This window comes from Homo sapiens, chromosome 12, assembly GCF_000001405.40.
Source record: "Homo sapiens chromosome 12, GRCh38.p14 Primary Assembly".
NCBI lineage: Eukaryota > Metazoa > Chordata > Mammalia > Primates > Hominidae > Homo > Homo sapiens.
In genome coordinates, this window is record NC_000012.12 from 14546744 (window position 1) to 14561950 (window position 15207).

A 15207-nucleotide genomic window follows, 5' to 3' on the forward strand; every position below is an offset into this window, starting at 1 on the left:
TTAAACAGAGGAACATTAATCCTGACTTGAGTGTCATTGCTGAGGATGTCTACTATATAACCATATACAAGACAGATAGAAATACAGGAAGGTAACTGGGCCAGAATTATTAAAATTTTTCTTCTGGTTTCTTTTTTTTCTTTTTTCTTTTTTTTCAGATGGAGTCTAGCTCTGTCACCCAGGCTGGAGTGCAGTGGTGTGATCTCAGCTCACTGCAACTTTTGCCACCGAGGTTCAAGCAATTCTACCGCCTTAGCCTCCCAAGTAGCTAGGATTACAGGCGTGTGCCACCACACCTGGCTAATTTTGTATTTTTAGTAGACATAGGGTTTCACCATGTTGGTCAGGCTGGTTTTGAACTCCCGACCTCAGGTGATCCGCCTGCCTTGGCCTCCCAAAGTGCTGGGATTACAGGTGTGAGCCACTGCACCTGGCTTTGTGTGTGTGTGTGTGTGTGTGTGTGTGTGTGTGTGTGTGTGTAGACTAGCTTTTTTGATTCTGACATTCAGTACAAGGGGAGAGAAACCTCCACCTTGAGATGAGAAGTGGGGGCCTCAGCCAGTCCTGCCACACACAGGGGCTCCAAGGAATACAATCTTCTTGCAGTTTCTTCAGGTTGAGGCCCTTCCCTCATCCCTCGTCCTGGGACCCTACACTTCTGTGTGGCAGAGCAATGTAGTGTAACATTAAAGAATCCAGGCTTTGAGCTCTGAGTTTAAAGCTTGACTCCACTACTTCTAAGCTATATCTTACTAAAAGCAGGATTCCCAACTTTTCCATGCTTCTGAATTCTCATCAGAGGCAACACTAGCGTCAACCTCATGGATGAGTTAGGTTTTGTTTCAGCTCCTGCAGTGTGTAAAGTCAGTAAGTTTCCTGCTAATTTGGCTGAGATTTTGCTCACATTTACCTCTTCAACACCTCTTCTACATGTTGAGAATCAAAAAGACATGTGCACACCCATCTTTCCCAGAATCTTTTTGCATGATGGCAATAACACATCATTTAGCACCTGTCATGTACTACCTCCTACGCTCTCCTGTTTGGATTCCCTGAGTCAGAGACCATATTGGGCTCCTTTAGTATTTCCCACAGTGATGAATCCATTTGTCTGTGGTAGCGGGGCATGTGCATGCAAACTCTGGGGCTAGATAGCCTCCTTTCCAATCCTGGCTCCTACTCACAAGCGTCGTGACTTTCAGCTAGTTACCTAACTTCCCAAGTTTTCATATAAATAATATGAAGATTATAATGATACATACCTCATGGTACTGTGGATTAAATAACTCAACATATGTCAAATGCTTTGAACAGTCTGACACATTGTAAATGGTATATAAGTGATGATTATCATCGTCATTGGTATTTTATGGTCAATTTTAAGTTACAAATAATTACAATTTGATACATCATTAGAAATTTTTGAGGGTGGGCCAGGCACGGTGGCTCACGCCTGTAATCCCAGCATTTTGGGAGGCTGAGGCAGACGGATCGCCTGAGGTCAGGAGTTCGAGACCAGCCTGGCCAGCATGGTGAAACCCTGTCTCTACTAAAAATACAAAAATTAGCTGGGAGTGGTGGTGCATGCCTGTAATCCCAGCTACTCAGGAGGCTGAGCCTAGAGAATCGCTTGAACCTGGGAGGCAGAGGTTGCAGTAAGCCGAGATTGTGCCACTGCATTCCAGCCTGGGTAACACAGGGAGACTCCATCTCCAAAAAAAAAAAAAAAAAAAAAAAAAGAAGAAGAAGAAGAAATTTTTGAGGGTGAGGCTGTGTCTGAGTTTGCTTTGCCCACAGTCTGGACCTAGAAGCATATTCAGTTTCTAACACCAAATGGAGCAAAAGAGGTAACACCAAGCACAAAGGAGGTCCCACCACTGACTACTTTCTCTAATTGTGCCGTGACCTTAGTAGAACCTCTTTTCATCACTGTTTTAGCAATGTTGTCTCAACATATTAATGTAAGTAAAAGGAGTTGCCTTTGAAGAATGTAGTCAGGAACCAACTCCCTACGTTTCTTCCTATCCTCAGTGCCACGCACAAAGTAGCAAAACAAGTGTTTGTTGTGCTGAGTTGACTCATTCAAACTGTGTAATACCAGAGGAGGGAGTTTCAGCAGCCGCGTGAACAACATAAGAGATCAGCTGCTTTATTAAAAACTAGAGCAGACCAGGTCCCCATACCCTTATCACCATGCTTTCCAGATAGGTTTCATGTCTCATTTTATTAAAAATCGATCCATGATTATTTAACAGTCTTTATATCATTCATGAGACATCAAAGGCTGAATCTGTAACTCTTAGGGAACTGTCCTATAGAGTGAAAAATCAGAGGAAGAATCTTCAGTTTGGTCAAGGCTGCTACCATCACACTCCATTACATGGAAATATACCTCATACTTAGAATTTGTTTCTAATAGAACTGGAACAATAGAATTCCATTAAACCTGATTAGCATGTAATTAAGTAACGGCTGGGAGCAAAGCACTATGCCAGACATCTGGGGTCTATAAAAATTAACAAAATACGGTGGCCGTCAAGGCACTAACAGGTGGTAGAGGAGAGAGATGGAGCTCTAATCCAGTGGGAATGAAATCTTAAAAAGGTTCATCAAGAAGACAGCATTTGAGATGGCCTTTGAGCTGCATCAAAGACTGCAAAGCAGAGGTCCTCTCAGGCTCTTGGTACCACATATATGGGAAGCCCCTCTTTGAGAAGGTGGGAAAATGACCACAGTCACACACTAGACAGAGATGACAGAGAGGTCATCTTTTATATTTAAGAAACCTCGGGCACTCTGTGCTCCAAGTAGAGAAGGACTGTTGGGAGCACTTCCATCCAAGGCCTTCCACACATGGCCCCCATTTGCCTTTTGAAACCCACCGTCCTTCGATTGTTCAACTGGAGCTTCCACTCCTCGGTCCTTGTTTTTGGTTTTTTTTTGAGATGGAGTTTCACTCTTGTTGCCCAGGCTGGAGTGCAATGGCGCAATCTCAATTCACTGCAACCTCCGCCTCCTGGTTGGAGTGATTCTCCTTCCTCAGCCTCCCAAGTAGCTGGGATTACAGATGCATACCACCATGCCAGTCTAATTTTTGTATTTTTAGTAGAGACGGGTTTTCGCCATGTTGGCCAGGCTGTTCTCGAACTCCCGACCTCAGGTGATCCTCCCACCTCGGCCTCCCAAAGTGTTGGGTTTACAGGCGTGAGACACCGTGCCCAGCCACTCCTCACTCCTTGTAAATGCAACTTACTCATTTCAGACTCAGTGCCTTTTTTCAGTACTCTGTTCCATTACATTCTGCTCAGAATGACTTTATCCCTCTTCCCAGCCAAACGCAGTAGTTCTCTTCTATCAAGCACCAAGCCTACAACTCACTTCTTCCACAAAGCCTTCTTTGACTATTCTGGCCACTGGAGTGCTTTTCTCTCTTGTACTCTGTACTTATGGCTAACAAGCTCTTTTGAGGTTGTTCTCCGCAGTAGAGTTGCTAGCAAGAGTGAACCAGCTTTTCCTTAAGGACATAGTTTTAGAGATTCTAGAGCTATCTCTGCCCCACTCCTGATCATTTGCCCTTGGGCTGCTGCTACTGGTCTGAAGGGAAGGCAGACTCAGATGCTCAAAGCCTGCATCACAATTTGCAAGAAGTCTTTTTGTTTGTTTGTTTGTTTGTTTTTAAAATTTTCAAAGGCTGACTTATACGTGTCAACTTTTTTTTGAAAGGACATGGCAAAAAGGCAAATTAAACAAGAAAACAGTTCCTGAATAGTATAGCGAGTGTCTTTTTTTAAGAAACAAAATTACCAGCCTGGGAAACATAGTGAGACCTCATCTCTACTAAAAATAAAAAATTAGGCTGGGTGCGGTGGCTCACGCCTGTAACCCCAGCACTTGGGAGGCCAAGGCAGGTGGATCATCTGAGGTCAGGAGTTCGAGACCAGCCTGACCAACATGGGGAAACCCCGTCTCTACTAAAAATACAAAATTAGCCAGGCGTGGTGGCTCATGCCTGTAATCCCATCTACTTGGGAGGCTGAGGCAGAAAAATCTCCTGAACCCGGGAGGCGGAGGTTGCAGTGAACCGAGATCACGCCATCGCACTCTAGCCTGGGCAGCAAGAGTGAAACTCCGTCTCAAAAAAAAAAAAAAATTATTTGAATGTGGTGGCTCACACCTGTAGGCTCAACTACTGTGGAGGCTAAGGTGGGAAGATCTCTTGAGCTCAGGAGGTCAAGGCTGCAGTGAGCCATGATTGTGCCACTGCACTCCAGCCTGGTAACAGAGCAAGACCCTGTCTTAAAATAAATAAATAAATAAATAAAATTTCTGCTTTAATACAGGCCTGGCGTGGTGGTTCATGCCTGTAATCCCAGCACTTTGGGAGGACAAGGTGGGAGGATCACGAGGTCAGGAGTTCGAGACCAGCCTGGCCAATGTGGTGAAACCCCATCCCTACTAAAAATACAAAAATTAGCTGGGTATGGTGGCGCGTACCTGTAGTCCCAGCTACTAGGGAGGCTGAAGCTCAAGAATTGCTTGAATCCGAGAGGCAGAGGTTGCAGTGAGCCGAGATTGCGCCACTGCACTCCAGCCTGGGCAACAGAGAGACTCTAACTCAAAACAAACAAACAATTTTTACTCTAATACAGAAGTATTTTTAAAAAGTTATTATTAGAATGGCTTTTTCTATAGATTTTTTTTGGCTAGTGGATAAAGTTACTCAAGAATAGGTCAATGCTTTATCTAAAAAATGAAGGCAAAATGATAAAGCCACCTTCAAAAGTGGCTGCTATGAGATGTTAAAGCTTATTTTTTTCTGAGACATAAGAATATCAGAGGTGCCACCTTTGTCAAAGCCCACTAAATCTCTGTGAGCTCTAACAATAACACCAACAGAAATATCCAAGGGAAACGTGCATTCTTAGAACATTCTCAGAGATTAGAGCTGCTTTCTGCAAATCACAGTTTCCATTAATAACCCACTGTATATGTCACTCATGAGTTAATCTAACCTATTTATATTCACACAACTTTGGTTCAAATTGTTTCTTCAAACTCACGACTCAATTTAAATAACACAATCAGAATTCAGTGCGAACAGAAGTGGATAAAGATTTGGAGAAGTTCAGATTTTTACCTGTATAATATGGTTTTAAACATGTTTAAAAAATCTAATTCAGTTTATGAAGTTTTATAAATCTATGAATAGTACACCGTTAAGGAGATTTGTATGGTAGGGTAAAAAAATTGGGTATAAAAATAAAAACAAAAATTTGTAGTTTGTATTAAAAAAGAGCAATCAGAGCTCAATAACTAGTCATTCAACATCTGATACAATCTCCAGTACTCAAAATAGATTAAGACTGACATTTCACTTACTATGACTAAGGCAGTAACAGCCCAAGTAAAGTTTGGTTAAACTGCACTCAACAATCTAGGTCACAGAGAATAAAAGAGGCAAGCAAAGTCATCAAGATACTTTTTATATCAAAGGAGGGATGAGAGTCGATTAAATAAATTGCAACTTTATTTTCCTTAAAGACCTCTTCTCTAAAAGGCATGTATCCTGATTGCATTATTATTAATTACGTCCTTGTTACTTTTATAAGGCAAGGCAAGGACACTAGAATCAAGTAATGGTAGAACTAGAAGAAACATTTATTTTAGACTCATTATACTTTCAATTTAAAAATCTCTGCCCACATGGAGCTATTGTTTCAAGATGGCTGGAAATAAATGCACCAACCGTTTATTTTTAATTACTCTTCCCTGCTCTGTTGTTCTCAAGGAGTGACCCCACCTCTCATTTGCTTTCTACCAGACAACAAGTGACTAGTAGGATGAAATGACTTTGCTGTCTTTAAAATCATTTCATGGCTGGGTATGGTGGCTCACACCTGTAATTCCAACACGTTGGGAGGCAAAGATGGGAGGATGGCTTGAGGTCAGGAGTTTAGGACCAGCCTGGGCAACATGGGGAGACCCTGTCTTTGCAAAAATATATAAAATAAAACAAAATGGTTTCATGGGATGGGAAGATTTTTAAGAAGTAAGTGCCATGAGAATTAAAGAGTGCCACACTTGGAGGTTTTGTTCCTTTTAGGCAGGTACTGATTATGGGAGCAAATGCAATTCTGAGCTGGGCACAGTGGCTCATGCTTGTGGTCCCAACTACTCAGGAGGCTGAGGTGGAAGGATTGCTTGAGCCCAGGAGATCAAGGCTGTGGTGAGCTATGATCGCCACTGCACTCCAGCCTGGCAACAAAGCGAGACTGTGTCCCATGCCTCACCCCCGCAAAAATGCAATTCTGATAATGTCTCTATCACACATGTGAACTCCAGCTACTCTTCAGTTCTAATGTGCAATGCCAGGAAGATGAGAGTCACTGTGGAACATGGGAAGGACAGGGGTTGCCTGGCAGTGGCTCTACCATGACTGGGATACTTACGGGGCAGTGAGGTAACCCTCCAAAAAGCCAGCCACAAACATGATGATCTCATTGCTCAGGGTTTGAGAGCCATAGCCAGCTCTGATCTCCAGGATGCCCCAGCCTGTGGTTTTCACAGAGTTATTGTAAAAGCCATAGGCGTCCCCATTCTTGTCCATTACATTTTTGACTTGTACTGTCTTTTCAGCAGGCATCCAGTATGCAGTTGCATAGTAGACTCCTAGAAGAAAAGGGAATAATGACAAAAACGCCATTCAAATGAGTTGTGATGCATTTTTTTCCTATGTATCCAACAATTTCAAGACGTTTGCTTTTAAAGATTTCCATTCTATTAGAATTGGGAAATCTGCCGTTACAGTTTGCCCTTAATTCCAAGTGGGGAAAAACTGGAATCCCAATCAAGGGGGATAAGCCCAAAACACAAAGAGCAAGGTCAAAGGTGGGGGTGTAGCTACAGCATCATAGAGGTGAGCCTGAGTGTTTCATCCTTAGAGGGTGGGAATCTGGGCAGGGCTGGAGCTGGACCTTACGCCTACTTATTGAGAGCTTGTTTGGAGGTTCTCGCAGGATGGCTCAGCTAGTTGTATACCCTTGACTGAAGACCGATCCTCCTCTATCAGGGATGATCGTCCTCTTTGACTGAGCGCTCAGCTTCAGGAGGGACGCACATGGAGCAGTGAGGGAGGAAGGGGACACCCGCCTAGCCAGCCAGATCAGCCAAATCAACCCTGGTGGTCAATGGGGTGACAGATGTCGCAGCCAGATTGCCCTCACTTCCAACGCCTACTTCTTAATTCAGACAAGAATAGGGCTCTTGTCCCTAGTCAGCAACTTCTTCCATTCCCCTTAACAGGTGGAACAAAACATCACCTTTCTCAGGCTCCTTATCCCTTGTCTCCTGCTTAATTCATCTAATGTCATATGACATTAGATTCTTTGCAGAAAAACTAGAAGCTATCACCTGTGACTCCGTATGGTGTTGATAATTTTGTGGGTCCGTCCCTACACAATCCCTGCACTCATCACGCCCATCTCTCCATTCTGGTTCACCTCCATTCTTTGACCCATGCTCTGGATCTCACTCTACCACCTTTAGGAACTCTGTTCTATCTTGTATCCTCTCGCTTCTGTGCCCTAAAGCTCCCTCTCTCGGCAGTAGCTTCTCCCCCTTTGGCATAGTTAACATGCTCCATTGTCTCATAGCTAAAAATAAACCAACTACAGAAGCCATCTGGATCCTGTGACCCAACAGAGCTATTGCTAGAATCTCTCACTCCCTTCATGAAATCATTACAAAGTTTAAAGTGTCCACACTGAATCAGGGACTGTTTTGAGTGCTGGTGACAGAGCTGTGAACATGACTGGCACAGTTCCAGGCCTCGCCTTCTGGAAAGAGGAATGCACTCACACCCTGCACTTCCTCCTCCTGTCCCTTGCTCCAGCCGGCTGCAGTCTGCTCTCCACCTCCAGGATACCAATGCGTCTTCTGCCTGGGTCACTAACAAAATCCTTGAGTCCTAATGTCATATGAACTTCTGAATGCATTGGACTCATGACCACTTACTCTTAAAACTTTTTCCTTCCACGGCCTTTGGGACACTACACCCTCCCCAGTCTCCTCCTGTGCCTGCCTTTTTCCTCATTCTCCCCACAGGTTCCTCTTTATCTTCAATACCCCACAGCACACTTAATAACACAATCTGGATGATTCCATCGCACTAGAGATTCGAAATATCCTCCATCGTGGTGTTTTCTCTCTCAGTGATCTCCCAGCCTGAAATTTGAATCCATCCTGGCTTCCTTTCTCTGTCTCATAACTTATGTTTAATCAAAGCCTTCTAAATATCTCTCCCACCAATCTCTACCTCTTTATCCCTATATTTTTATGCTACTTTAGGTAACACAACTAGCCGTTTAAGTATAGAAGAGGACTTTTTCAAGGTTTCTCTGACCTTTAATCCATTCTTCGTTCTCTACCAGAGTAGCACTTCTAAAATGTGAACTGATTTTGTTAGCTTGCCGGCTAAGAATGTTCAATAGTTTCTATTTCTTAAAAGTTCTGCTGCTGGGAGCAGTGGCTCACACCTGTAATCCCAGCACTTTGGGAGACCAAGGAGGACGGATCACCTGAGGTCAGGGGTTCGCGACCAGCCTGGCCAACATGGAGAAACCTCGTCTCTACTAAAAGTACAAAATGAGCCAGGCATGGTGGTGTGCGCCTGTAATCCCAGCTACACGGGAGGCTGAGGCAGGAGAATTGCTTGAACCCGGGAGGCAGAGGTTGCTGTGAACCTAGATTGTGCCATTGCACTCCAGCCTGGGCAAAAAAGTGCGAAACTCTGTCTCAAAAACAAAAAAACAAAACAAAACAAAAAGTTTTGCTTCCCACTTGGCCTTCGTGACCTGGTTTCCATCTACCTATCCAGCTTCCTCATCACCCACACGCACATTCGATGATCCAGAGACCATCACATACAGCTCTCCAACCTGCCAGTAACTAGGTCAACACCTTTGACTTTGCAGATGCTATTTTTTCTGCCTGATGTTTTCCCTCTGGTTAGCCACCTAGCAATCTCAAAATTGCTATTTAGGACCCAGGAAGCAGCACCTCTGTTGCAGGGAATGACTTCCTCTACAAACTCAATGCTTGTAAGCACACCATCTTTATGCCTTGTCACACTGTACTGTAACTTACATGCTTGCCCCTGCTCCTAGACTAGAAGCTCCCTGAGGCCAGAGACTGTGTCCTCAGCACTTGCAGTGCCTGGCCCATAATGGGTACTCAATAAATATTTGTGAAAGGAAGGAAGACTTAGGAAGAAAGAGAAAGAAACAAGGAAATAAGACATGGAGAAAGGAAATGGTAAAATATGACGTGTTCTTTTCTCTGTCTGAGAAGCCATTACACATGTGCTCTGGTTGAAGAATCTATACATTCAGGTCAGTCATCAGAGAGGTGGGAGGACGCCAGAATGACTATCAGGTTTTAGGCTGAGACTCAGTGGATGGATGTTGTATCATTTACCAAGAAAGGAAGCACATGGACAATATGTCTGGGAGGGATCAGGAGTTTAGTTTTAGACATATTGAGTTTTTAGTGATTAAGAGGCTAGAAAGTTTTCAGATTAAATATTTACACAGGGTTATTTGTTGGCAAACGTTCCAAACTGGACCAACATTTTACCTTTTTTTTTTGAGATGGAGTTTCCCTCTGTCATCCAGGGTGGAGTGCAATGGCAAGATCTCAGCTCACCGCAAACTCCACCTCCCAGTTTCAAACGATTCTCCTGCCTCAGCCTCCCGAGTAGCTGAGACTACAGGCATGCACCATCACATCCGGCTAATTTTGTATTTTTAGTAGAGACATTGTTTCTCCAGGTTGGTCAGGCTGGTCTCGAACTCCCAACCTCAGGTGATCCGCCTGCCTCGGCCTCCCAAAGTGCTTGGATTACAGGCATGAGCCACCGTGCCTGGCCAACATTTTACTTTTTGATGTTAAGATTGTCTATCAGCCAGGTGCAGTGGTTCACCGCTGTAATTCCAGCATTTTGGGAGGCCGAGGCAGGAGGATCACCTGAGGTCAGGAGTTTGAGACCAGGCTGACCAACATGGAGCAACTCCGTCTCTACTAAAAATACAAAATTAGCTGGGCATGGTGACGTAAGCCTGTAATTCCAACTACTTGGGAGGCTAGGGCAGGAGAATCGCTTGAACCTGGGAGGCGGAGGTTGCAGTGAGCCGAGATCGTGCTATTTGCACTTCAGCCTGGGCAACAAACAAGAGCGGAATTCCCTCTCAAAAAAAAAAAAAAAAAAAAGACTGTCTGTCACGCTTTTCAAAATAATACATACATGTGGCCAACAAGCATGTGAAAAAAAGCTCAACATCACTGATAATTAGCAAAATGCAAATCAAAACCACAATGAAATACCACTCCACATGAGTCAAAATGGCTATTATTTAAAATGTCAAAAAAATAACAGGTGCTGGTGAAGTTTCAGAGAAAAAGGAATGCTTATACACTGTCGGTGACAGTGTAAATCAGTTCAACCATTGTGGTGATTCCTCAAAGACCTAAAAACAGAAATACCATTCAACCCAGTAATCCCATTACTGGGCATATACTCAAAGGAATATAAATTGTTCTGTCATAAAGACACATGCACACATATGTTCATTGCAGCACTACTCACAATAGCAAAGACATGGAATTAACCTAAAGGCCCATCAGTGGTAGACTGGATAAAGAAATTGTGGTACATATACAGCATGAAATACTATGCAGCCATAAAAAAGGATAAAATAATGTGCTTTGCAGGAACATGGATGGAGCTGGAGGCCATTATCCTGAGCAAACTAACGTAGGAACAGAAAACCAAATACTGCATGCTCTCACTTATAAGTAGGAGCTAAACGATGAGACACATCCTTTAGTCCATTATGTTTCTAATGGACACATAGAAGGGAACAACAGACACTGGGACCTACTTCAGGGTGGAGGGAAGAAGGAGAGAATCAGGAAAAATAACTAATGGGTACTAAGCTTAATACCTGGGTGATGAAATAATTCATACAATGACTCCTGTGACACACATTTACCTATACAGTAAACCCGCACATGTATCCCTGAACTTAAAATAAAAGTTAAAAACAGAAATACCATTCAACCCAGTAATCCCATTACTGGGCATATACCCAAAGGAATATAAATTGTTCTATCATAAAGACACTTGCATACGTATGTTCATTGCAGCATTATTCACAATAGCAAAGACACAGAATCAACCTAAATGCCCATCAGTGGTAAACTGGATAAAGAAATTGTGGTACATATACACAATGAAATACTACGTAGCCAAAAAAAAAAAAAAAAAAGACTGTCTATCAAATATGCACTAAAAGTAGAGTCTTAATACTAGAGCATCATGGCACCGTGCTCCCGGGGCTCGGTGATAGGCTGGGGCTTAGTCAGGCTTAGAAACTAATCCTGATTAAACGCTTAAGGAATGATCTGAGTAGGCCTAAGTCAATTGACTTCTGAGTACAATGACCATCATGGCAGGCCTTCACAATCGTTAATCGGAAGTAATGGCATTAAGAAATAGGGAGGTGTCAAATAATTTGCCAATAAACTGCGGGTGACAAATAATTGTCTGATTGTTAATGGAGCCATTTGGCCACAATTTGACAATTGTAGGCAGCACCCACAGAAACTTCCCTTCTCCACCCAAAGGCAATAAATGTGTTTTCCAAATCCATTTTTGACCATATATCCCCAGCTTTTCTCACACATTCCCTTCCACCCTCGACTCCAGGGAGCGTTGTAGGGAAATGAGGAAGTGTGGCTGCTGGAATAAAAAGCAGAGTCATAAACAGGAACCATAAAAGAAAAAAGGAAGGTGTGTCTCTTCTCTTTTCTTTCTACCCACAAAGCATGATTTTAGCTTTTTCTTCTTCTCCAAAACCTTGGCATTTCTCATCGTAAGCACCCCAGGCCTGCCTTCCCCTTCCCTTTCCAATCAACTCCTTTTTGCTGTAATTTGGGGCTTGCTCAAGGCAACCTGAGTACTAAACCAAGAGCTATGTTTTCACTGTTGCTGGTCCTACCTAATTTCCTGACCACAAAAAGAAACTTCTGCAAATATGTGCTTTTTTGACACTCGTGTACCTCCATGAATGAAAAAACCTTTACTCAATCCCCAAGAGATTTTGGTGAGAAAAATGTCCTGCCAACAGCTTAGCATGTGCTTTGAGAATAAAGCCAAAATCAGAGTTTTCACTCCACTCCAACCGAGGTCCTCCATTCCTCAATGTTTTCTCTAAGTTTCAACTCTTCCTGGTTTTCCCAGTATTCATGCTATTTTCTGATTTTCTTAAATCCTGTAATAGTTTAAGCCATTATACTTTTCCATTTTTTAAAAACATCTTCATGATGGGAGGTGGCTGGTATGAAAAATGTAATAGTGAAAAGGTAGAAAAATAGTACATAATTCTAATGCAAACCTAGTTTTATACAAGCTCTGTGAAAGCGCGGACTGTTTCTGCTTAACACTCTATAAACCTGACAAAATAATGTTTCTTTGATGAATCTAGTTTGTGTGTGTTCTCTAAATGAAAAGAAAGCCATTTATTTATTTATTTATTATTTATTTTTGAGCTGGGGTCTCGCTCTGTTGCTCAGGCTGGAGTGCAGTGGCACAATCACAGCTCACTACAGAGTGGAATTCCTGGGTTCAAGCAATCCTCCTACCTGAGCCTCCCAGAAAAGGAAGCTCATCAGAGCACTCATTCACAGAAGTTAGTATGAAATAACTCAAGTAATTATGTTTTCAAGCCTGGGTGAGAAACTTACTAAATGGCTCGGAATCTTGGATTAAGTCTACCCAGCCCCAAGAGCAAGAGCTATTTGTTGGTATTTTCTTTAGAGTTGTGAAAAGGAAAAGTCAGAATTCAAACATTTTAACAGCAATATCCTCAAAATCAATGCACTTGATTAAATATCTGTTGAATGAATGGGAATCTTATTTATAAAAAGTATTTTTTTCTATAAATAAAGATGGAAAATGTGCCATCATTTTTATATTTCTCTCTGTAAAAGCCCAAACACCAAAATTAAATTTATTTTATTAATATTTACTTGTATACTCTGATTAATATTTTATTTATTTAATTTTTTTTTTTTTTGAGACAGAGTTTTCGCTCTTATTGCCCAGGCTGGAGTGCAATGGTGCGATCTTGGCTCACCACAGCCTCCGCCTCCCGGGTTCAAGCGATTCTCCTGCCTCAGCCTCCCAAGTTGCTGGGATTACAGGCATGCGCCGCCACGCCTGGCTAATTTTGTATTTTTAGTACAGACAGGGTTTCTCCATGTTGATCAGGCTGGTCTCGAACTCTTGACCTCAGGTGATTTGCCTGCCTTGGCCTCCCAAAGTGCTGGGATTACAGGCATGAGCCACTGCGCCCAGCCCAATTAATATTTTCTATGAGTTCATTGTTTTCAGTTGAAAAAATTCCTACCCTGTCTTAGGAAAAAAAATGTATAAAATACTCATAAGTAGCTTAAACTATTCTCTCCCATATTTGGATTCTATAATAATTTTTCTAGCACCTCATTTATGAAAGAGCAGGTAGTTTTCAACCCCAAGCAATGCAATGTTTACTTAATATATTCAGAAGTCAGAGGGGAAAAAAAGAGAAAGAAATGAGAAAGAGATCAAGCAAAAGATGTTGGAGAAAATAGAAAAAAATTAAAATGAAAACAATCTATTCATATTGGGTTTAGCTAAAAATTCACTGGTTTTGGTCCTTGAATTGCTTTTCTCTTTTATGTCTGCTCGGCTAGTCTCTCAGTATACCTCTGTGTACCTTGGCATTGCACTTGCCTTCTTTGAAAGGTCTCTCAGTAAATTGATACCTGGTTTTTGGATTTGTTTTGACTCTTCATCGGAGTCACTAACGAAATAACTGATTTGTAAATTAAACAATCTCCAGTAAACAAAATTGCAAGTAGGTGTTTAAGCCTTGGCTCTCTCCAGATATCAGAGACTAAGATGCCTGCTGGAAGGAGGATTATTTTGGCAAGTACTTCCAGAGAACAGGAGTGGTGGGCTGGGAGAGTGAAAGGGAGGAACACCGATTGAAGGGTGCATTCTGAGCTGGTTTCCACTGTGGACACAGGGGTTGATCCCACTGGGACTAGCCTCGGAAATCTTCATCCCAGGGATGGAGGACCCAGCTACCTGCTCCCATACTACAAAGGTCAAACGTTGCCCTAGGAAGGGTTAACTCCCTCACTCCATGTCTGCATGTGCTCCAGGACTAAGTGGCTGTGATTTCAGAGACGCCCTGAGGTGGAAATTAAGAGATTTCTACAGTGAGGTTGAGATGAGGCACCTCAGATCACCTGCAGGAAGTGGAAATAAAAGGCAAGTGAGAGGATGTGAGGTGGGCCTCAGGGTCAGGAAGTGCAGGACACACTAGATAAGTAGAAAGGGATACAGCTTTAAAAACTAGCTTCAAAACAACAATCCACAAATGCAGAAAAATGCCGGAGATTTGCTTAGATCTGGAATGATCCCTTTCCTTCATCCCGTTGAAACATACCGATTTGTCACTGGCAGCTGAAATCAGAGTTCTTGCCAAAAGCCCTATCAGCTGAAAGTCAACTTTGCCCCATTCTGGTTCCATGCTGTTAGGTCAGTCCTCATCTAGATTACTCATTAATTATGCATTTGTGTCTGCTTGGTCCTAAAAATTTGATTACAAGCTCCTTGCAGATGAGAGGTGGAGTCTCACATTTCATTGTATCCACTCCCTTGGGCCTAGCACAATGCTTTATGGATTACGTGGCCACCTGGATCCCCAACTTTCTTTTGTTTTGAGACAGAGTTTCGCTCTTGTTGCCAAGGCTGGAATGCAATGGCACGGTCTCGGCTCACCGCAACCTCCGCATCCCGGGTTCAAGCAATTCTCCTGCCTCAGCCTCCTGAGTAGCTGGGATCACAAGCGTGCGCCACGCCACACCTGGCTAATTTTGTATTTTTAGCAGAGACGGGGTTTGTCCATGTTGGTCAGGCTGGTCTCGAACTCTCAACCTAAGGTGATCTGCCTGCCTTGACCTCCCAAAGTCTTGGGATTACAGGCGTGAGCCACTGCACCTGGCCTGGATCCCAAACTTTCACACTGGCTGGGAAGGTCACACCTGGTGACAGACTTTATCAAGTTATATAAACTTGATAGTACAGTCATTCTCGATTTC

General features: G+C 42.9%; 1 protein-coding gene and 1 pseudogene across 1 annotated transcript in view; both read right to left on the minus strand.

The window, feature by feature from the left end:
• Positions 1-15207, minus strand: part of PLBD1 (phospholipase B domain containing 1) — a 64223-nt gene that overhangs the window by 43083 nt on the left and 5933 nt on the right. The window contains exon 2 of the mRNA NM_024829.6: positions 6450-6669. Within this exon, the coding sequence (NP_079105.4) occupies positions 6450-6669 (220 nt within the window). The remainder of the gene's footprint in view (positions 1-6449; positions 6670-15207) is intronic.
• On the minus strand, positions 6948-7227 carry RN7SKP134 (RN7SK pseudogene 134; annotated as a pseudogene).